General features: G+C 45.6%; 2 protein-coding genes and 1 pseudogene across 5 annotated transcripts in view, besides 4 other annotated features; 1 reads left to right on the top strand and 2 right to left on the bottom strand.

The window, feature by feature from the left end:
• Positions 1 to 10,263, bottom strand: part of CHAF1B (chromatin assembly factor 1 subunit B) — a 33,624-nt gene extending 23,361 nt beyond the window's left edge. The window contains exons 1-5 of one of the 2 annotated variants that reach the window (NM_005441.3): positions 10,204 to 10,263; positions 9,393 to 9,595; positions 7,925 to 8,057; positions 3,987 to 4,104; positions 1,005 to 1,108 (exon numbers count right to left, since the gene is read on the bottom strand). In NM_005441.3, the coding sequence (NP_005432.1) occupies positions 1,005 to 1,108; positions 3,987 to 4,104; positions 7,925 to 8,057; positions 9,393 to 9,518 (481 nt within the window). In that variant the 5' untranslated portion in view covers positions 9,519 to 9,595; positions 10,204 to 10,263. Of the gene's footprint in view, positions 1 to 1,004; positions 1,109 to 3,986; positions 4,105 to 7,924; positions 8,058 to 9,392; positions 9,596 to 10,203 lie in introns of those variants that run through there. The other variant, XM_047441000.1, reaches the window with a different exon arrangement.
• Positions 6,543 to 6,777, top strand: ATP5MFP1 (ATP synthase membrane subunit f pseudogene 1; annotated as a pseudogene).
• Positions 8,811 to 9,310: an enhancer, noted in NCBI's record as "H3K4me1 hESC enhancer chr21:37758643-37759142 (GRCh37/hg19 assembly coordinates)". NCBI's record gives its function as "activates a minimal SCP1, AML or CMV promoter by ChIP-STARR-seq in primed H9 embryonic stem cells {active_cell/tissue: H9 hESC(primed)}" and the evidence as "EXISTENCE:reporter gene assay evidence [ECO:0000049][PMID:30033119]".
• Positions 9,311 to 9,812: an enhancer, noted in NCBI's record as "H3K4me1 hESC enhancer chr21:37758141-37758642 (GRCh37/hg19 assembly coordinates)". NCBI's record gives its function as "activates a minimal SCP1, AML or CMV promoter by ChIP-STARR-seq in primed H9 embryonic stem cells {active_cell/tissue: H9 hESC(primed)}" and the evidence as "EXISTENCE:reporter gene assay evidence [ECO:0000049][PMID:30033119]".
• Positions 9,932 to 10,031: a silencer, noted in NCBI's record as "silent region_13286". NCBI's record gives its function as "represses an Ori minimal core promoter by ATAC-STARR-seq in GM12878 lymphoblastoid cells {active_cell/tissue: GM12878}" and the evidence as "EXISTENCE:reporter gene assay evidence [ECO:0000049][PMID:35858748]".
• Positions 10,062 to 10,431: a silencer, noted in NCBI's record as "silent region_13285". NCBI's record gives its function as "represses an Ori minimal core promoter by ATAC-STARR-seq in GM12878 lymphoblastoid cells {active_cell/tissue: GM12878}" and the evidence as "EXISTENCE:reporter gene assay evidence [ECO:0000049][PMID:35858748]".
• The window catches only part of MORC3 (MORC family CW-type zinc finger 3), a 56,436-nt gene continuing 53,390 nt past the window's right edge, over positions 19,023 to 22,068 (bottom strand). For all 3 annotated transcript variants that reach the window (NM_001320446.2, NM_015358.3, NM_001320445.2), the window contains one exon: positions 19,023 to 20,512. In NM_001320446.2, coding sequence (NP_001307375.1) covers positions 20,359 to 20,512 — 154 coding nt within the window. In that variant the 3' untranslated portion in view covers positions 19,023 to 20,358. The remainder of the gene's footprint in view (positions 20,513 to 22,068) is intronic.

Genomic DNA, 22,068 nt, shown 5'->3' with positions numbered 1-22,068 from the left:
AATGGAAACCTGATCCCACCTACCCCATCAACTAGCATGCAATGCCCTATAAATTATAAGTGACTTGTTAATCTTCCCGAGATCCTAACCTCCATAAAGGCAGGGCCCGGGCCTGTCATCTTATCTGCTGGCCCCACCATGTGGGATTTGCCTGGCTTCAGCATCAGTAACTTGCAGCACCAGTGCTAAGCCTCTTACCCTCTGACAATCCATAGCATATGGGACTAACCCCTATCCTGTTGAGCCAACCACCTACTTTAGTTCACTAAAACAATTTTTTGTGTTGCTTTTAAAGTTAAAGCAAGTAGGCCGGGTGTGGTGGCTCATGCCTGTAATCCCAGCACTTTGGGAGGCCGAGGCGGGTGGATCACCTGAGGTCAAGAGATAGAGACCAGACTGGCCAACGGTGAAACCCCGTCTCTGTTAATGATACAAAAATTAGCCAGGTGTGGTGGCAGACACCTGTAGTCCAGCTACTCAGGATGCTGAGGCAGGAGAATCGCTTGAACCCGGGAGGTGGAGATTTCAGTGAGCTAAGATTGTGACATTGCACTCCAACCTGGACAAGAGCGAAACTCCGTCTCCAAAAAAATAAAAATAAAAAATAAAGTTAAGGTAAGTTAGGGCCAGGGGCAGTGGTTCATGCCTGTAATCCCAGCACTTTGGGAGGCTGAGGCGGGCAGATCACCTGAGGTTAGGAGTTTGAGACCAGCCTGGCCAACATGATGAAACCCGTCTCTACTAAAAATACAAAAATTAACTGGGTGTGGTGGTGCATGCCTGTAGTCCCAGCTACTTGGGAGACTGAGGCAGGAGGATCGCTTGAATCTAGGAGGCAGAGGTTGCAGTGAACCAAGATCGCACCACTGCACTCCAGCCTGGGCGGCAGAGTGAGATCCTGTCTCAAAAAAAAAAAAAAAAAAAGTTAAAGCAAGTTAGACTTTTAGGCTTTTATAGATGCTTAGAATATTTCTTCCTGCTAATAACAAAAATATATCATTTACCTTTGCTGACATCCCATATGATGGCTGTGTTATCCACAGAGGCAGAAGCCATTAAATTCCCATCAGTTGCCCAGCAAATATCATACACATCTTCTAAGTGGCCCCTAGAATCCAAAAACAAAGAGGAAAAAAGCAATTACTCCCCAGGTATAGCAGCTTACCCCTGTAATCCCAGCACTTTGGGAGGCCAAGGTAGACAGACTGCCTGTGGTCAGGAGTTCAAGGCCAGCCTGGCTAACACAGTAAAATCCCATCTCTACTCAAAATACAAAAATCAGCCAGGTGCTGTGGCTCACGCCTGTAATCCCAGCACTTTGGGAGGCCGAGGCAGGCAGATCACAAGGTCGGGAGATCGAGACCATCCTGGCCAACATGGTGAAACCACGTCTCTACTAAAATACAAAAAATTAGCCAGGCGTGGTGGTGCACACCTGCAGACCCAGCTACTCAGGAGGGTGAGGGAGGGGAATCACTTGAACCTGGGAGGCAGAGATTGCAGTGAGCCAAGATCGCGCCACTACACTCCAGCCTGGCGACAGAGTGAGACTCCATCTCAAAAAAAAAAAAAAATTAGCCAAAAAAAAAATAGCCAGGTGTGGTGGCGCACACCTGTAGTCCCTGCTACTTGGGGGCTGAGGCAGGAGAATCCCCTGAACCCAGCAGGCAGAGATTGCAGTGAGCCAAGATCATGCCACTGCACTCCAGCCTGCGCAACAGAGTGAGACTCTGACTCTAAACAAAACAAAACAAAAAGCAATTATTAACTCAAAAACGGACAAGTTATCAAAAATATAAGGACAATCTCCAGAACTAAGCATTAAAATGAGATTCCAAAATTTCCACTGGCACTATATTAGCTATAGCTATAAAAAACTACTTTCAAGGATAGCTATATCTGACCGGTCGCAGTGGCTCACGCCTGTAATCCCAGCACTTTGGGAGGCCGAGGTGGGCGGATCACCTGAGGTTGGGAGTTTGAGACTAGCCTGACCAACATGGAGAAACCCCGTCTCTACTAAAAATACAAAAAAATTAGCTGGGCATAGTGGTGCAGGCCTGTAATCCCAGCTACTCGGGAGGCTGAGGTAGGAGAATCGCTTGAACCCAGGAGGCAGAGGTTGCGGTGAGCCGAGATCATGCCATTGCACTCCAGCCTGGGCAACAAGAGCAAAACTCCATCTAAAAAAAAAAAAAAAAAAAAAAAGGATAGCTGTATCTTTAAAATTGAATACTTTTTACTAAGAAAAATGTATAGCCGAAACTAAGAAAATCCATTTTAATTATGCTTTCATCCTTTAAAACTATTGTCTTAGGACTGTTTCATATAAATAAAACTTCTAAATTAGACCAGCCTGGGCAACATAGTGAGACCCTGTCTCCACAGAAATTTAAAAATCCTCTCCCTCTCCCTCTCCCTCCACCGTCTCCCTCTCCCTCTCCCGCTCTCTCCACAGTCTCCCTCTGATGCCAAGCCGAGGCTGGACGGTACTGCCGCCATCTCGGCTCACTGCAACCTCCCTGCCTGATTCTCCTGCCTCAGCCTGCCGAGTGCCTGGGATTGCAGGCGCACGCCGCCACGCCTGTCTGGTTTTCGTATTTTTTTGGTGGAGATGGGGTTTCGCTGTGTTGGCCGGGCTGGTCTCCAGCTCCTAATCGCGAGTGATCTGCCAGCCTCAGCCTCCCGAGGTGCCGGGATTGCAGACAGAGTCTCACTCACTCAGTGCTCAATGTTGCCCAGGCTGGAGGGCACTGGCGTGGTCTCCGCTCGCTACAACCTCCACCTCCCAGCCGCCTGCCTTGGCCTCCCAAAGTGCTGAGATTGCAGCCTCTGCCCGGCCGCCACCCCGTCTAGGAAGTGAGTAGCGTCTCTGCCCGGCCGCCCATCGTCTGAGATGTGGGGAGCGCCTCTGCCCCGCCGCCCTGTCTGGGAGGTGAGGAGCGTCTCTGCCCGGCCGCCCCGTCTGAGAAGTGAGGAGCCCCTCCGCCCGGCAGCCGCCCCGTCTGGGAAGAGAGGAGCCCCTCCGCCCAGCAGCCGCCCCGTCTGGGAAGAGAGGAGCATCTCTGCCCGGCAGCTGCCCCGTCCAGGAGGTGGGGGGCAGCCCCCGCCCGGCCAGCTGCCCCGTCCGGGAGGTGGGGGGCGCCTCTGCCCGGCCGCCCTGTCTGGGAAGTGAGGAGCCCCTCTACCCGGCCGCCACCCCGTCTGGGAGGTGTACCCAACAGCTCACTGAGAACGGGCCATGATGACGATGGCGGTTTTGTCGAATAGAAAAAGGGGAAATGTGGGGAAAAGATAGAGAAATCAGATTGTTGCTGTGTCTGTGTAGAAAGAGGTAGACATAGGAGACTCCATTTTGTTCTGTACTAAGAAAAATTCTTCTGCCTTGGGATGCTGCTAATCTATAACCTTACCCCCAACCCCCTGCTCTCTGAAACATGTGCTGTGTCAACTCAGGGTTAAATGGATTAAGGACGGTACAAGATGTGCTTTGTTAAACAGATGCTTGAAGGCAGCATGCTCCTTCAGAGTCATCACCACTCCCTAATCTCAAGTACCCAGGGACACAAACACTGCGGAAGGCCACTGGGTCCTCTGCCTAGGAAAACCAGAGACCCTTGTTCACTTGTTTATCTGCTGACCTTCCCTCCACTATTGTCCTATGACCCTGCCAAATCCCCCTCTCCGAGAAACACCCAAGAATGATCAATAAATACTAAAAAAAAAAAAAAAAAAAAAAAAAAAAAATTTAAAAATCAGCAGGGCATGGTAGCATGCACCTGTAGTCCCAGCTATTTGGGAGGTGAGAGGATCACTTGAGCCCGGGAAGTCAAGGCTGCAGGGTACTGTGATCACAGTACAGCACTCCAGCCTGGGCGACAATGAGACCCTATCTCAAAAGAAAAGAAAAAAAAAGTCAAAAGGTATATTCCATTTAATGCACTCATCGTAAACAGAGATCACTGCCATGGTCCCTCCCAAGTTACCGCAGAGTCTTCACAACCGTCCAGTTCTCCTTGTTCAGCTGGGCCTCGTCCTCATCCTGAAAAGCGATCTGCTCCGGCTCCTTGTTATCATTCACCTTCCACAATAGGATGACAGCATCTGCAGGGTGATTCAGTAACAGTGATCCACGCTTCACCCACACTCCTTCATATTAGGATTTTTATTTTCATTTTTTTTTTTTTTTTTGAGACGGAGTCTCACCCTGTCGCCCAGGCTGGAGTGCAGTGGCGCAATCTTGGCTCACTGCAACCTCTGCCTCCCAGGACCATCCTGGCTAACTGTCTCTACTAAAAATACAAAAAAATTAGCTGCATGTCAGGATTTTTAGGGTATTAAAACAACATTTATGTTGTTCAGTGGACACTATGGCCAGGATGATTTACTTCCAAGCATTTCAACAGGGAAAGTAGGCAAATTGCCTTCTGAGCTAAAACTCCAAAATCAAATTCATAACAGATCAGAGCTATACAAAATCACCTTAAACAGAAGGGTCCCTAGGCCAGCAAATGCCACTGCAAAATGACTGGCTACATTAATAAATCTGAAGGCATAACCTATAAATAGCTGAATAGAAAAACAAAACAGCAAAGAACCCTCAGTGCAAGGGTTGGCAAATGTTCCTAGCTCAGAAACCTTCAGCAAGTCACTTAGCATCTTGATGTCTCAGTTTCCTCACCTGTAAATGGGGATAATAGGCAGGGTGGGGTGGCTCACGCCTGTAATGCCAGCACTTTGGGAGGCTGAGATGGAAGGGTTGTTTTAGCCCAGGAGCTCAAGACCAGCCTGGGCAAGAGAGCAAGACCTTGTCTCTACTAAAAATCAAAAAAATTAGCCAGGTGTGGTGGCACACACCTCTGGTCCCACTACGCAGGAGGCTGAGGTGGGAGGATCACTTGAGCCCGGGAGGTGGAGGCTGCAGTGAGTCCTGATCTTGCCACTGCACTCTAGCCTCAGTGACAGAGCAAGACCCTGTCTCAAAAATGAGGATAACAATATATCTACCTCACAGGCTGTTGTGAGGATTAAATTGGCCAATGTATATAACACACTTACAACACAATGGCTGGCAGATAGTAAGCCCCATGTAAGTGTCAGCTATTAATACCATTATAGATATCAGGTACTTTAGCCTGAGGTCACCCATTGTCTAAGTCCAATAACTCCCCACATTCTGACTCTACGATTACCACGTAACCTTCTGACCATCCCTTAGCTTCCCTTTTAGGAATGTGCACAGCAGGACAGTGAATGAATGAGGTTGTGAGGACATACGCATTCCCATTCTTTGTTTTTCTTTCTTTTTTTTTTTTTTTTTTGAGATGGTGTTTCACTCTTATTGCCCAGGCTGGAGTGCAATGGTGCAATCTTGGCTCACCACAACCTTCGCCTCCCGGGTTCAGGCGATTCTCCTGCCTCAGCCTCCCGAATAGCTGGGACTACAGGTATGCACCACCACACCCAGCTAATTTTGTATTTTTAGTAGAGACGAGGTTTCTCCATGTTGGTCAGGCTGGTCTCGAACCCCTGACCTCAGGTGATCTGCCCACCTCAGCCTCCCAAAGTGCTGGGATTACAGGCGTGAGCCACCGCACCCAGCCTGCATTCCCATGCTAAGTTAACCGGAATCCTATTCGCACACATTAGTCTGGGAGCTTGGTTAACATGCCATTGGCCCTGATGGATGAACACTCTCCACGTGCTGACAACAGCAGGTTTCTGGGCCTCCAAGACCAAGGGACTTTGGAAAATGGGGGCTGCCATGTGCAACCTCAGGGCAGACAGCAGGTAGCCACCCCCAGGTGGCGCTCCTGCTCCCCACTTTTCCCTCTACAAATCAGCGTGCGCGCGCACACACACACACACACACACACACACACACACACACACACATCCCTTCATGCACTCTGGGTATCATGGCACTGAACTCAACCAGGTCTCTTTTCCTCCTCCTGCAAAAAAAAACTTTAGATTTCTGTTTTATTTTGTAATAGTTTCTAGATTGTTTTAAAGTATGGTAAAAAGGTTTACTTTTTTTTTTTTTTTTTGAGACAGACTCTCACTCTGTTGCCCAGGCTGGAGTGCAATGGCCCAATCTTGGCTCAGTGCAACTTCCACCTCCCAGGTTACAGCGATTCTCCACCTCAGCCTCCTGAGTAGCTAGGATTATAGGAGCGCACCACCATGCCCAGCTAATTTTTGTATTTTTAGTAGAGATGAGGTCTCACTATATTGGCCAGGCTGATCTCAAACTCCTGACCCCAAATGATCCACCTGCCTCGGTCTCCCAAAGTGCTGGGATTACAACATGTGTGAGCGACCGCGCCCAGCCTGGTTTACTTTTTCCATATAGTTTTATCCCATTTAAGCACAGGCAGAAAACAAGAATCAATCTATTCCCACCAAACAAGCAAGCACAAATCACAAGGCCATTCATTAATGACACTCCCGGTATGCTCCCTCCCCAGCACCCTCCAGCAGCCCGGCACTGCAGACACCAGGACTCCAAAGCAGCATCAGTCACAGCAGGGAATGGGAGAAAACACACAGATGTCAAACCAGAGGAGCTGCCAAGCTGGGTACCGACGCGGGATCTTACCCCGACCGGCACTGCTGGAGCGTTTCAGAGGCTACTATGGGTATTACAACAAGTATGTCACTGTGAAGAAAGGGAGCATTGCGGGGGTTTCCACAGTGTTGGCAGCTTAGGTGCTTTTCAGCTACTGCCTTTCTTACAGGGAGATCAAACACGAGCAGCTACTCAGGGCCCACTGAAGAGGGGCCAGTGGGAGGGCACACTGCACTTCTGAGCATGGCACACCTCCATGAGGAACTTTGCCATTGCTGAATTCTTTCATATCCCAGTTTAGAATTCATGCCCAAATAGCCCGGGCGCGGTGGCTCACGCCTGTAATCCTAGCACTTTGGGAGGCCGAGGCAGGCAGATTGCCTGAGCTCAGGAGTTTGAGACCAGCCTGGCTGACAAGGCGAAACCCCATCTCTACTAAAAATACAAAAATTAGCCGGGGGTGGTGGCAGGCGCCTGTAATCCCAGCTACTTGTGAGGCTGAGGCAGGAGAATCGCTTGAACCTGGGAGGCAGAGGTTGCAGTGAGCCAAGATTGTGCCACTGCACTCCAGCCTAGATAACAGTGAGACTGTCTCAAAAAAAAAAAAAAAAAAAACTCCCAAAGCCAATTAATTACTAACACAGTCCTAAAGCCATTTAATTAATTACACAGAGACACAGAACTGACTCTGATCACCACAGATGTTAAACTAACAATCCAACAAAACCAGAACAGTCGCCTTGCTTGGGATGTGACAGAATGGTAAGTGCCTTTCCATCTCGTCTTAGAACAGCCTGGTGGGAGCTTGCGGGAAAGCAGCTGTTTTCAAACAGGTGTTCCTGGTTTCATCTTGCTGTCCTCCCTCCCTGACTCTACCACATTCCCTAGAACAGTATTTTACTGAACTACCTAAATGACAGATTGAGAGGGTCAGCCACACCTGAACTAAAAAGCATATCCAGGCCGGGCGCAGTGGCTCACGCCTGTAATCCCAACACTTTGGGAGGCCGAGGCAGGTGGATCACCTGAGGTCAGGAGTTCGAGATCAGCCTGACCAACATGATGAAACCCTGTCTCTACTAAAAACACACAAAAAAACTAGCCGGGCGTGGTGGCAGGCGCCTGTAATCCCAGCTACTCAGGAGGCTGAGGCAGGAGAATCGCTTGAACCCAGGAGGCGGAGGTTGCAGTGAGTCGAGTTTGCACCACTGCACTCCAGCCTGGGGAACAAGAGTGAAACTCTATCTCAAAAAAAAAAAAAAAGCATATCCAGCTCAAATCTCACTATCTGACACAAGACACACAGGTATCTATCTGGTTCCCGAAGAATCTCTGAAGGACAGCAATACTCACCATCTCCTCCCGATGCTAAAATTTCCCCAGTTGGAGAAAAACGCACAACATTGACGGCTTTGGTATGACGAGCAAGATTGGACAAAAATTCCACGATGGCTTTTCCATCTGGTCCCTTTTCTACCTTCCAGATCTGTCAATACCAACACATTCATTTGAAAAACATAGAATGGGCACATATTATACTGTCTGTATTAAAACAATACTATGGGCTGGGTGTGGTGGCTCACAACTGTAATCCCAGCAGTTTAGGAGGCCAAGGTGGGTAAATCACTTGAGGCCAGGAGTTCAAGACCAGCCTGGAAACACAGTGAGACCTAGTCTCTACAGAAAATTTAAAAAATTAGCCAAGTGTGATGGCACATGCCTGTAGTTCCAGTTATGCGGGAGGCTTAAGAGGGAGGATCACTTGAGCCCCGGGTCGGGGCTGCACTGAGCCAAGATCAGGCCACTGCACTCCAGCCTGGGCGACAGAGTAAGACCCTGTCTCAAAAAAAAAAAAAAAACAAAACTATGCTTATTTTCAGAAAGAAAACTTAGTTTTTCTTTTGAAACATAAAATCAAAGAACTCCCTATCTAAAACATAAATGTCTACTGTCCCCCTCCGCCTTCTTTCTAGAGCAACTTGTTACCCAGTAGGAACCAGGATCAGGATCCCAAAACAATGAACGTCCAGTTACAATAATCTAGGGAAAATGAATCAAATAAGAAAGCAGAGCCGGGCATGGTGGCTCAGGCCTGTAATCCCAGCACTTTGGGAGGCCAAGGTGGGTGGATCACCTGAGGTCAGGAGTTTGAGACCAGCCTGGCCAACATGGTAAAACCCCATCTCTACTAAAAATACAAAAATTAGCCAGGTGTGGTGATGAGCGGCTGTAGTCCCAGTTATTTGGGAGGCTGAGGCAGGAGAATAGCTTGAACCTGGGAGACAGAGGTTGCAGTAAGTCGAGATTGCACCACTGCACTCCCACCTGGGCAACAGAGCAAGACTCCGTCTCAAAAAAAAAAAAAAGAAAGCAGCTCTCTTTTGCTTTCATTGTTCACCGCAGGCCCTGGAAATTTAGCATTCTGGGCTAGATGACAAAGTAGTTTAGTTTGTTGACATACGTTAATTCATTCATTCATTTACTTAAGAGAAGGGTCTGGCTCTGTCACCCAGGCTGGAGTGCAGTGGAGTGATCGTTGCTTGCTTCAAACTCCTAGGCTCAAGCGATCCTCTCACTTCAACTTCCCAAGTAGCTGGGCCTACAGCTGCACACTGCCACGTCCCGCTACTTTTTCATGTCTGGCTGTTGCCCAGGCTGGTGTCGAACTCCTGGACTCAAGCGATCCTCTCACCTCAGCCTCCCAAAGCACTGGGATTACAGGCGTAAGCCACCGCGCCCAGCCGACACTGGTTTTAAGTAAAAGAATGAAAACTATTGCTTCAAGCAGTGTTCCCGGATGTCTATCTCTGCCCCAGTTTACCCTGACATTGGTGTCCACGCCGGCAGACGCCAGTCTGTGGATCCTCCCAGCCGTCCCATGCTGGAAGTCCAGGCTGTACACGGGCTCCTTGTTGTGCCAGGCTATTTCACAAGTGATGACTTTCATCCTCCTGAGTCTCGAAGGGGAAAAACGTTTCTCGGGCACCGTTCTACTTCTTCAAGACAGGAGAAAGCTGCAAAATGCTGGTGATGGATTAAACAACAGTGTTAACAGCAGCAAAGGGTTATTGAGCGCTGAATAGGGGCCAGGAGCCATTTAAAATGCACACTGCATTGGGAAAGGATGTTAACGTTGCCATCTGACAATAACACCTTGCTAGCTCCACCTAAAATGCTTCGCTGGGTCCTGACATCCACAAGTTTATGATACGCCGCTACATCCAGAAAAGCAAAACGAAACACCCAGGTAAAGGCTACCTAGGGGCCCCGGCCGTCTGCACGGCCTGTCCCCGCTTAGTAGGGGCTAGGGGCGCGCCCTGAGAGCCCGGGGAGGGGCCCGCCCCGGGAGGAGCCTCCCGGAAGAGGGGGCCAAACGGGGTAGGGGACCGGGGCGGCGGGGCGAGAGGAGAACCCCGCCTTTCCCAGGGACCGGGCGCTGGGCCCGGGAAGCTGGGACTGAGGCCGCCGGGAGGAGGCCGCGCGGGGCCGGGGGTGGACGGGGCCCCGCCGCCCCAACGCGCGCCGCTCCGGAGCTATCCCGGGGCCCAGGGGCCCGCCCTCGGCGAGGGCCTCTGGCCCGGACCGACGCGACCAAAAGAGCCGCGGAGCTGCCCGGGCCAGGGAAGCCGTACCTGGAGGGACCCGGACAGTCAGAGGCACCGTCACCTCCCGCGCAGCGCGCGCCGCTTCCCGCGCGCCGCAGGCCCCGCCCCCGCATGGGCGGGACCTCATAGACGCCCCGCCCCTCCAGCGGCCCTCAGGTCCCGCCCGACGTGGGCGGTACCCCAGGGAAGCCCCGCCCACTCATAGACGCCAAGGCGAGTCCTGCTCTGGCCCTGGGGTCGGAATCCCGGCCGGAATTTATGCCTGCCAGACCCACGACCGAAGGAAGAATGGATTCATTATTATTTATTATTATTATCCATTACTTATTCCTTGTTGATTCGCTCTTTTAGCAAAGGTTTACAGAGCCTGGGCTGTGTGTTAGACAGACCCTATGCTGGCGCTGGGCACTTGGAGGGCTAACACAACCGGTTCTCTTGCCCCTTCTGCAAACAAAAACTGAGATTTTTGGGTTTTCTGTATTGGCTTCTAGAACATTTTGGAGAGTTCAAAGCTATGAAATTGTTCAGTACCTAGCGCAAGGTTGCTTACATTTTATTATTATAGTAGATGCAGTTATAAACCCTTTTTAAGAACAGACTAACATTTTAAAGTGAGGCTGTAAATCAGTCGGTAGGCAGAGATAGATACCTCAGGCTTTTCGAAATGGGACGTTTCCAAATGAGACCTAATTTATCTGTGGGCTTCGCAGAAGGCCAGGAAACAAGTACCTCTGGATGCGCTGCTTTTACTGGATAAAAGAAACACACAGGGTTATCTGAGGAGCCAACTGCTCTAGGATTTTTGGAAAAAAAGAACAGACATGGATTCTTATATAAATACCGGCTGATGCTTTTAGCCAGCTTTATGAAAGGTACAGAAATTGCCTACAAATCCGTGTCTCATGTTGATGAGAATGGCTGTATGCTCCTTGAAGCCTGATTTCTACAGGAAGCTAGAATAACATAATCCGGATATGCAGTTTTTAGATTTTTCTCTTCAGGATTTACAGAGCTTGGACTGGGAATGACTATATACTTTAGATAATATGGCTGTTCTAAAAGTACAGATTCCTGGCCCTACTCAGCCCCATGATTCCGAATATCCAGCAGAGGCCCGTGCTCCAGGGGCTTGCATTTTCATAAACTCCCCGGTGGGTGTGATCATCAGTCTGTTTTGGAAAGCTCTGGATTCTTCGTGTCTCTCAAACATAAAATTTCTCCAAATTTCTCATAAATGCTGTTCATTCACAAATGAATAATCTGCCCACCTCTTGAAGTGTCACGACTCTGAACTGTGGATTTAAAAGATAAAAACACATGCTTTAAGTATTAAAAGTACATGAAGGAGTTGGCTTTCTTGGCGAACATTTTAGAGATCCGACTTCAGTGCCAACTTGATGAGCCAACACGGGCAGGGGATGCGGCTCTAGAGAGAGGCCCTGGGCTGTCAAATATTTTCTCAAAAAAAAAAAAAAAAGTATTTGTTCAAAACCTCAAAGTTTGCACCACAAATGTTGGACTAAAGAATTCCTGCCGGTCGCGGTAGCTCACGCCTGTAATCCCAGCACTTTAGGAGGCCGAGGTGGGCGGATCATGAGGTCAGGAGATCGAGGCCATCCTGGCTAACATGGTGAAACCCCATCTCTACAAAAATTACAAAAAATTAGTCGGGCGTGGCGGCGGGCGCCTGTAGTCCCAGCTACTCGGGAGGCTGAGGCAAGACAATGGCGTGAACCCGGGAAGCGGGGCTTGCAGTGAGCCGAGATCGTGCCACTGCACTCCAGCCTGGGCGAGAGAGCGAGACTCTGTCTCAAAAAAAAAAAAAAAAAAAAAAAAGGGAATTCCTATAACGCAATTCTAACTAGATTCCTCAACAACCACTGTTGTTCAGCTTGGGCCCCAAGCATCCATTTTGAGCAGAACTGCCTCAATTTAAGGGGACCAATGTTATTTGGTTCCTGAGAACTTTTTAATAATGAAAATTGATATAAAGGGACTAACTCTTAACTCAGCTTCGAAAAAAAACTTCTCAAGGCATTTTAATTTCCATTTGTAAGTGTGAACATTCTAAAATCAAAATCTGAGCCGGGCATGGTGGCTCACATCTATAATCCCAACGCTTTGGGAGGCCAAAGCAGGCAGATTGCTTGAGGCTAGGAGTTCCAGACCAGCCTGGCCAACATGGCAAAACCCCTTCTCTATAAAAATACAAAAACTATACAGAGTGGTAGTGTGTGCCTGTAATCCCAGCTACTCGGGATACTAGGGAGGCTGAGGCAAGAGAATCCATTGAACCCGGGACTTGGAGGTTGCAGTGAGCTGAGATGGCACCACTGCACTCCAGCCTGGGTGGCAGAGTGAGATTCTGTCTCAAAAAAAAAAAAAAAAAAAGCTTTGATAACAGACATACAAAATTCAGTACAGGGTTGGAAAAAAATGTTGAGCAAATATCAGAATAAGAAAACTAGGAGAAGCCAGGCGTAGTGGCTCACGCCTGTAATTGCAGCATCTGGGAGGCTGAAGCGGGCGGATCACTTGAGGTCAGGAATTTGAGACCAGCCTGGCCAACATGGTGAAACCCCATCTCTACTAAAAATAGAAAAAATAGGTCAGGCGCGGTGGCAGGCACCTGTAATCCCAGCTACTCAGGAGGCTGAGGCCAGAGAATCGTTTCAACCTGGGAGGCGGAGATTGCAGTGAGCCGAGATTGCGCCATTGCACTCCAGCCTGGGCAACAAGAGCAGAACTCCATCTCAAAAATAATAATAATAATAATAATAATAACAGCCAGGCATGGTGGTGGCGCCTGTAATCCCAGCTACTCGGAGGCTGAGGCACTAGAATCACTTGAACCCAGAGGGCAGTGAGCCAAGATCATGCCACTGCACTCCAGTCTGGGCGACAGAAACAGACTCAGTCTGAAAAAAAAAAAAAAAAAAAGAAAGAAAAAGAAAAATAGAAATGACGGAAATCAATACAGGAGATTGAGAACAACGGGACCTCTGGCACACTACTGGTGGAAGTGTAAACTGATGTAAATACTTTAGAAAACTGTTCAGCACTGTCTAATAAAGTTAATGATACGCCTACCCTATGACTCAGCAATTCCACTCCTTGGCATATATATCAGGAAAACAAAAGCAAACTCATACAAGAATCATTATCCATAATAGCCCCAAACTAGAAAGACACCAAATGTCCACCCACAGGAGAAAAGGTAATCAGACTGTGCCATATTCATACCACGGTATTCTACTCGGTAATCCAAAAGAAATACTGTGATAGTTAATTTTATGCCTCAGTTTGCCCGGGCTAAGACATACCCGATAGGTGGTCAACATTACTTCTGACTATGAGGGTGTTTCTGGAAGACTTTAGCATTTGAATCAGTAGACTGAGTACAGAAGATCCGCCCTCACCAACCTGGGCAGTATCTGGGGCATCATCCAACCTGTTGAGTCTGAAAAGAACAAAAAGTAGAGGAAGGGCAAATTCTGTCTCTTCTTGAGTTGGGACATCCTCTTCCACCCTCAGACATCAGAGCTCCTGGTTCTCAGGTCTTTTGACTCCAGGACTTATGCCACTGGTGTCCCTGGTTCTCAGGGCTTTGGAGTGGGACTAAGTTATACCACAGGCTTTCTTGGGTCTCCATCTTGCAGACAGCAGATCATGGGACTTCTCAGACTCCATAACCACTTAAGCCACTCCTCCTGATCAATCTCTTGCATCTATCATATTGGGCTCCGATTTTCTGGAGAACTCTACACTGACTGACACAGGCAGCAACATGGATGTGTGTGATGCACACAAGGAGTTATTATTTCAAGTGATTGGCAAACACAGAAATTTTATACTACCCCAAAGAAAGCTTACCTTCAGTCATACTATGGCTAGAAAATATTGGTATTGTTACATATATGCATACCTATGTATTTATGTATACATTAGGAAGAGCAAATACTTGTGTGGTTAGGAACCCAGATTTTCAGCAAAAGAGACTATATTATAGTCTCTTTTAGTTCAGTCTACTAAAAAGGCCTAGAAATGCCCAAACTAGGCCAGGCACAGTGGCTTATGCCGGTAATATCAACATTTTGGGAGGCTGAAGCAGGAGGATCACTTGAGCCCAGGAGTTCAAGACCAGCGTGGGCAACGTAGCAAGACTCCGTATCTAGAAAAAAAAAAAAAAAATCAGCCAGGCATGGTGGCATGCACCTATAGTCCCAGGTACTTGGGAGGCTGAGGAAGGCGAAGCACTTGAGCCCAGGAGTTTGAGGATGTAGTGAGCTATGATTATGCCATTGTACTCCAGCCTGGGCAACAGAGCAAGACCTGTCGCAAAAGAAAAAAAAAAAAAAAAAAAAAAAAGAAGAAGAAGAAAAAGAAATGGCCTAACTAGAAACAATGACTATATCTGTGCCTAGATTATTATCTTCAAATAGCATTTCCCACAAAATGAAGCAGAACTTTTGGAGAAATGGCTGTCACCAAGTCTAGACCAGGAAATTTATTAGATGTATTGAAATACCTTACATCTGAAATACCCTGGAGTATACAGAGTACAGAAAAACAAACAAACAAAAAAAACAAAACCCTAAGTTAGGGCTCATTCCTGTAATCCCCACACTTTAGGAGGTTAAGAGGTGGGGGAGTGCATCGCTTGAGCCCAGGAATTTTGAGACCAGCCTGGGCAACAAGTCAAAAATCTGTCTCCACAAAAAATACGAAAATTAGCTGGGCATAGTGGTGTGTGCCTGTGGTCCTGGCTACCCAGGAGGCTGAGGTGGGAGGATTACCTGAGCCCGGGAGATTGCGGCTGTAGTGAGCTGTGATCGCGCCACTGCTACTCGAGCCTGGGTGACAAAGCAAGAGCCTGTCTCAAAAAATATATATATATTTAAAGCCAGAAGCAGTGGTTCATGCCTGTAATCCCAACACTTTGGGAGGCCAATGTGAGCAGATCCCTTGAGCCCAGAAGTTCTTGAGACCAGCCTGGGGAAAAAAAACTAAAAAAACACAACCAAGCAAGGCAGGTTGGACAAGCTTGCTGGTACTTCAGTTGCCTCCATGAATATCACATTTTGAGAGAGATTCCCACCAAGGGAGTCACAAAACAAGAGACAATTGCCTAGAACAGAAAAAATTCTATACTCAAATTACCTTAATTCAGTCATGGTTCAGATCACAGTACAAACCAAGAGCCTCACTTCCAACAGGAACCCCATGGGAGATTAGGAAGACTTGACTCCTTTGTGAATATAAAACACCATTACATTTTGTTATGAAGATACAGCCAGCTGGGCGTGATGGCTCACGCCTGTAATCCCAGCATTTTGGGAGGCCGAGGCGGGCAGATGGCTTTAGGCCAGAAGTTGGAGCAGCCTGGGCAACATGGCAAACCCAGTCTCTACAAAATATTCAAAAATTAGCTGGGCGCAGTGGCATGTGCCTGTAGTTCCTACTACTCGTGGGGGCTGAGGTGGGAGGTCACTTGAGCCTGAGAGGTTGAGGCTGCAGTGAACTGTGATCATGCCACTGCACTCCAGCCTGGGCAACAGAATGATACTTTGTCTCAAAAAAAAAAAAAAAAAAAAAAAAAAAAAAAAAAAAAAACGAACTACAGCCAAATTCTAGATATTCACATATCAAGCACATACATAACCTAAATATTGTTAGCCAGGTTGGGATAAAAGTCCTTTATATTCAAATTTAAATTTATTCTGTCTTGTTACCAAGACATTGAGTCCTGATGACTCTCTAAGAAATTGTGGCTTTAAAAGGTTTCTTGTTAACTCTTAACCAGACTTTCTTCCTACAGGCTAGTATGTGAAAGTTAACTCTGTGATCAATAGACAATTCTAAAAAGCAACAGATTTATTTTTTCCTCTACGCCAATCAGATATTAATAGCATTCATCTTGTGAGCTGTGACCAACATTCAACAGACAAATATGCAGATAGGATTCTATTTAGATTTTCAAGCCACTTCAGTGAGTCCCTGTTTATGAGACACTGCACAAAATAGGACTTAACCAGTCAGGCGCGGTGGCTCAAATGCCTGTAATCCCAACAATTTGGGAGGCCCAGAAGGGTGGACTGCTTGAGTCCAGGAGCTTAAGACCAGCCTGGACATGGCGAAACCCCATCTCTACAAAAAATAGAAAAATTAGCTGGGCATGGTGGTGCACGCCTCTAGTGCCAGCTACTCGGGAGGCTGAGGCAGCTGGAGCATTTGGGCCTCGGAGGTTGAGGCTGCAGTAAGCCATGATCACACCACTGCACTCTAGCCTGGGCAACAGAATGAAACCCTGTCTCAAAAAAAAAAAAAAAAAAAAAAAAAAAAAGACAACCTACTGTGGATTTTCTGAAATAGGAAGAAATGGGTAGTGTGTCTGGGTAGTTTTTGGGTGGTGTGTGGCCAAATTAACACAAGCTTTCAGCTTCTTTACAGCAAGAAGACAAGAACACAGTGGAAAAGAATAGGCAAAGAACATGTATAAAACACAGAAAATTAAAATGGCCAATGTAAGGACTGAGACAAATGTCAGCTGTCATATTTTCACATATCAAATTAGCAAAAGTAAGTTTGAGAGACTTTGAGGAAAACACTCATATTTATTACTCATCCTAAGTATAAATTCCTGCAACCTTTTTTTGGATGGCAATATTTATTTAAATGTACATGGCATACATTCTTTGACCTATCAATATTCACTGTTAACAATTTACACTCTGGATTTAATCGGAAAATCATGTGTGGTATGTATTAATCTTCACAGTATACTTTGAGACGGAGTCTCGCTCTGTCACCAGTCTGGAGTGCAGTGGTGTGATCTCGGCTCACTGCAACCTCTGCCTCCTGGGGTTAAGTGATTCTCCTGCCTCAGCCTCCCAAGTAGCTGGGATTACAGGAGCCCACCACCACGCCCAGCTAATTTTTGTATTTTTAGTAGAGATGGGGTTTTACCATGTTGGCCAGGATGGTCTCGATCTCCTGACCTCATGATCCACCCACCTTGGCCTCCCAAAGTGCTGGGATTACAGGCACGAGCCACTGCGCCCAGCCAGTATATTCTTTCTAACGAAAAGTAAGTAAGTAAGTAACCATTAGGAGCATATTCCTATGATGAAATGTTACTTAAGCTTTTTGAAAGAATGATATGGAAATGTTTAGTTATCAATTATATGGTATAATCCCACTGTGTAAATATCGACACAAATATACGCAATTTAATGTAAATAAAATACATACACATGAATGTGTGCATGTATGCACACAAAAGCCAATAGTGGTTACCTTTAGAGGCCGTGGAGAAAGTCTTTTCACTGTTCATTTACATCTCTACCGGGGCACCGCTCTGCTTCCCCTCCCTCCCCCTGCTTGCCCCAGTGAGAAAGTGGATATGCTGATCCCGTTTGTTTCGTGAACCACTCAAGTTCAACATTTATAAATACTCAACAGAAGACACAACTCAACAGTGCTTGGCTCTGATGGTGCACTGGAATTAACCCGGGAGGCCTTGAAAAATACTGTTATCTGGGTCTAACCCCAAGGACGCTGACTTAATTAACGTGAGGTGCAGCCTGACTTTGGGAGTTTAAAAAACTCCCCAAGTAATTCTACTACGCAGCCAGAGGTGAGAACTTAAATGATTCCTCAATGATGTATGACCCAAGTTTAAGACGTCTCATGTGACAGCAAGAATCAAGCGTCTGAGATCACAGGCAGCGTCACCAACTGGACCTGCCACATGAAGAATTTGAGGCCCAAAGGAAGCACACAGGGACGTGCCATGCCCTCCTGCTCTGTGTGCTCACTCAGCTTTCACTGATTTTGCCACCCTAGGTCCTGTTTGAAGACTGTGGACTGTTTTGGTTTACTTCCTCATACCTTTCGTGTTTTAAAGTAATAAACATTAGTTGAAGCAATACTGTCCCCCACATGCAACAAAAGAAAGAGAAAGGTACATACATCATGAAAGCCCACGTTGTTCTGTTAAACAACAGTTGTTCTGTCTGCAACTGTGAGCCACATTTTCGAAGTCTCATATCTTGGCAATACTTCAATATCTTCATAAAGAGCAAAAAGTATCTAAGTGCTTCCAAAGAATCAATTTAGCAAGCAAGTTTCTCTTACTAATCCCATGATTAATTTTCCCATCAAGCCAGACAGCTACAGGAAATATTTTTGCAAGAATACATAGAGAAGCTGGCCAAAAGGAAGGGAAAAATAGCAAATTCCAAAAAGAACCACTGCATGAGTTAGATATTCACAAAACTTACATATGATTTACATAGCTGCTATTATTTAGGCAAGGTTTCTCTAGAGTAAATGATTTATACAAAGAAAAGTCCTTTTTTTTTGAGACGGAGTTTCGCTCTTGTTGCCCAGGCTGGAGTGCAATGGTGTGATCTCGGCTCGCTGCAACCTCCACCTCCCAGGTTCAAGTGATTCTCCTGCCTCAGCCTCCTGAGTAGCTGGGATTACAGGCATGCATCACCACACCCGGCTAATTTTGTATTTTTAGCAGAGACGGCATTTCTCCATGTTAGTCAGGCTGGTCTTGAACTCCCGACCTCAGGTGATCCGCCCGCCTCGGCCTCCCAAAGTGCTGGGATTACAGGCGTGAGCCACTGCGCCAGGCTGAGAAAAAGCTTTTGAAAACAGAATATACATGCTCTGAGGAAAGAGGAGCTCAGCCTCAGTCTTAATGGAAACAGTCTTCAAAAAATAAACTGCAATTAAAGTAGTTAAAATGAGCTCAAGTTGAGGGTCTAATGAATACATTTTTAGTTTTAAAATAATTTGAGGTTAATATTAAGTCTTTAAAAGTAGCATTTGAACAGTTAGCCATCATATATTTTTATTTTATTATAAGATATTTTAAAATTTGGGAAATTACAATTGTGACAGAAAACCAGCTTCATACCAAAAATACACTTTCAATTACTTTATCAGGCAAATAAAAACAATCTTCATTTATTTGCTCTTTCCAGAATTACTATACAGTAAAAATTCAATACTGTATATGACCGACACGTATTAAGCATACATACAAAATGAACGGATTGAATGTTCAAAAACAAAGGTAAAAATAAATAGCAATGATAAAACTTTGGAAAAAATAATGCACATTTTAGTTGTGGAAAATATGGTTCTTATATATACATAGTTTATACTTAATAGAAAGCCATCTCTTTAAAATTGCACAAAACATGGGACCAATAAAGCATAGTATTTTATGGCATGTAATACTATAATCCTAAGGAAATTTGTTCCTTGACTCTAGGATATAAAACACTTAGGTTTGTAATATAATAAAAGGTATGTAGTATTGTTTGAGAAAGACTGTCTTCCTCAACTCACATTAACCTGTAGTAATCCTACAAAAGGCTGTACAGGAAATTTCACAAAAAGAAATATTAAAAAATTATCATGCCCACTTCATGCTGACTAAACAGCCAAAAATGGGCTTCAAAGTAAACTTGGTGGCCATTTAATATTTCAATACCTTTTTTCTGTTAAAGACTGTTTCTTCATTCTATAAAAACACTTTGTGTTTAACCGTGATTGGCAATCTCAGCACAACAAAATCCTGGCAAAATGGAGTTGGTTTTTGCTTACCTTATTTTCATGAATAAAATATTTCAGGACAGGAATTTATACAAAAGAAACATTAATGCTCAATTCACTTATAACCAGAGTTGTATCAGGAGTGTTACTACATTATTTAAAAATCCTATTTAAACTCCTTTATAAGAAAATCAAAGGTAACATTTCCATTTGTATTATGGCATAGCCCTCGACTTAGAGAAAAATACACTTTGGGGAACCAGAAAAAATTGCACAAAGCTTAGGGGCAACCTGAAAAGCTCTTGGTGAAAAACACTTGAGTACTCTAGGGCAATAAAAAAATATGTGCAGGCTTAATTACAAATATTTACATTCAAAACAGAGTCATGAGTTAGCTTCAGCTGCTCAATGCCAACAATTCACAGGTATTTCAAAACATAAGATAATGTGTCCACAATATTTGTGACCACATTTGAATGCATAGAATACAGTAAAGATTATGGTTTTCAGTCTGTTGCCTATCATATCTATAAAACAAAATTAATTATATTTTGAAAGCTGTACAACCAAAAGAATTGAGCAAATATTTTATCTTACATAACATATACTTTAAGTACTACTGATTTCACTCATTTGTTCAACAACTTGTCCTAAAATCTCATCAACTACATCAACATCGTAATTCACTTGCTGAAGATCAAGATCAGGCACAATCATAGCCAGCAGTTGTCCTACGTTAACTCGAAGAGATCGGAGTTTGAGGCTGCAAATACAAATATGTAACTTATTAGATGAGCATTACAAGTTAAGATTCATGTAGACCTTAAAAAGTAAAATATCAAAATCAAATCTCCGTAGAATAATATACAATTAAACAAAAGGAAAAGCAAAACCTCCCCTAGAGAACTCAATTTACTTTAATAATTCACTTTTATGAGTCAGGTGCACTTGCCCATGCCTGTATTCCCAGCATTTGTGAAGCCGAGGAGGGAGATCGCTGGAGCCCAGGAGTTCGAGACCAGCCTGGCCAACATGGTGAAACCCTGACTCTACTAAAAACACAAAATATTAGCCGGGCTTGGTGACGACACCTGTAGTCTCAGCTTCTCAAGAGGGTGAGGTGGGGGATCACCTGAGCCCAGGAGGTCAAGGCTGCAGTGAGCTGCGATGGCACCACTGCTCTCCAGGGTTCACGCAATTCTCCCACCTCAGCCTCCTGAGTAGCTGGAAGCACAGGCCCACACCACCATGCCCGGTTAATTTTTATTATTATTATTTGTAGCAATGGGGTTTCACTATATTGCCCAGGCTGGTCTCAAACTCCTGGGCTCAATCAAGCATTCTGCCCACCTCAGAGTGCTGGGATTACAGGCATGAACCACCATGCTTAGCCAGAATTATCTAAAACATGTTCTATAAGATATCCATAGTTGTGTAAGAGGTAATAAAAGGTTCTGTGGTCAAATAAGCTTGCAAAACATTGTGTTAAACAATGTTAAAGCAGCTTTTTTTTTACGCCGGGCACAGAGGTTCACGCCTGTAATCCCAGCACTTTGGGAGGCTGAGGCGGGCAGATCGCCTGAGGTCAGGAGTTCAAGACCAGCCTGATCAACATGGTGAAACCCCGTCTCTCCCTAAAAATACAAAATGTAGCTGGGCGTGGTGGCGCACACCTATAGTCCCAGCTACTGGTGAGGCTGAGGCAGGAGAATTGCTTGAACCTGGGAGGCAGAGGTTGCAGTGAGCCGAGATTATGCAACTGTACTCCAGCCTGGGCATCAGATCAAGACTCTGTCTCCAAAAAAATAATAATAATAATAATTGTAGGACTGCTCTGATCCTATTACATGCTTAAGTTACCGTGCATTTACAGAGAACAATGGTTTGCTGAAAACACTGGGAAACCATAGATTAAGATAATTATGCCTTCCAAGTTTATGAATATCAACATTCTAGACTTTTTAAAAAATGCCCAAAAGTATTTAAGCAATAAACACCTAAACTGTAAGGCAGCTTTTGCTTCAAATATTATGGCAAACACATAAAATGAGTGTTACAGTTGTTCTTGTTCCCTACCCCACTACAATATAATAAGTCCATATTTAATTTAGATACTGATTTTTCTCGAGTGGAAATCTATGAAGGGATCAAGATGTTCTTCCTTAGTCTGATAATGCGGAGAATGTGATTTTGAGCATGTTTTTTTGTGAGCTTTTATGGTAAGAGTCCACTAGACCTTTGATAATACTTTAATCGTTCCCATACCAGCTTTTTTTTTTTTTGAGACGGAGTTTTGCTCTTGTTGCCAAGGCCACAGCG

This window comes from Homo sapiens, chromosome 21 (assembly GCF_000001405.40).
Source record: "Homo sapiens chromosome 21, GRCh38.p14 Primary Assembly".
In the NCBI taxonomy this organism is placed as follows: domain Eukaryota; kingdom Metazoa; phylum Chordata; class Mammalia; order Primates; family Hominidae; genus Homo; species Homo sapiens.
This window is presented reverse-complemented; position numbering and strand designations above follow the sequence as displayed.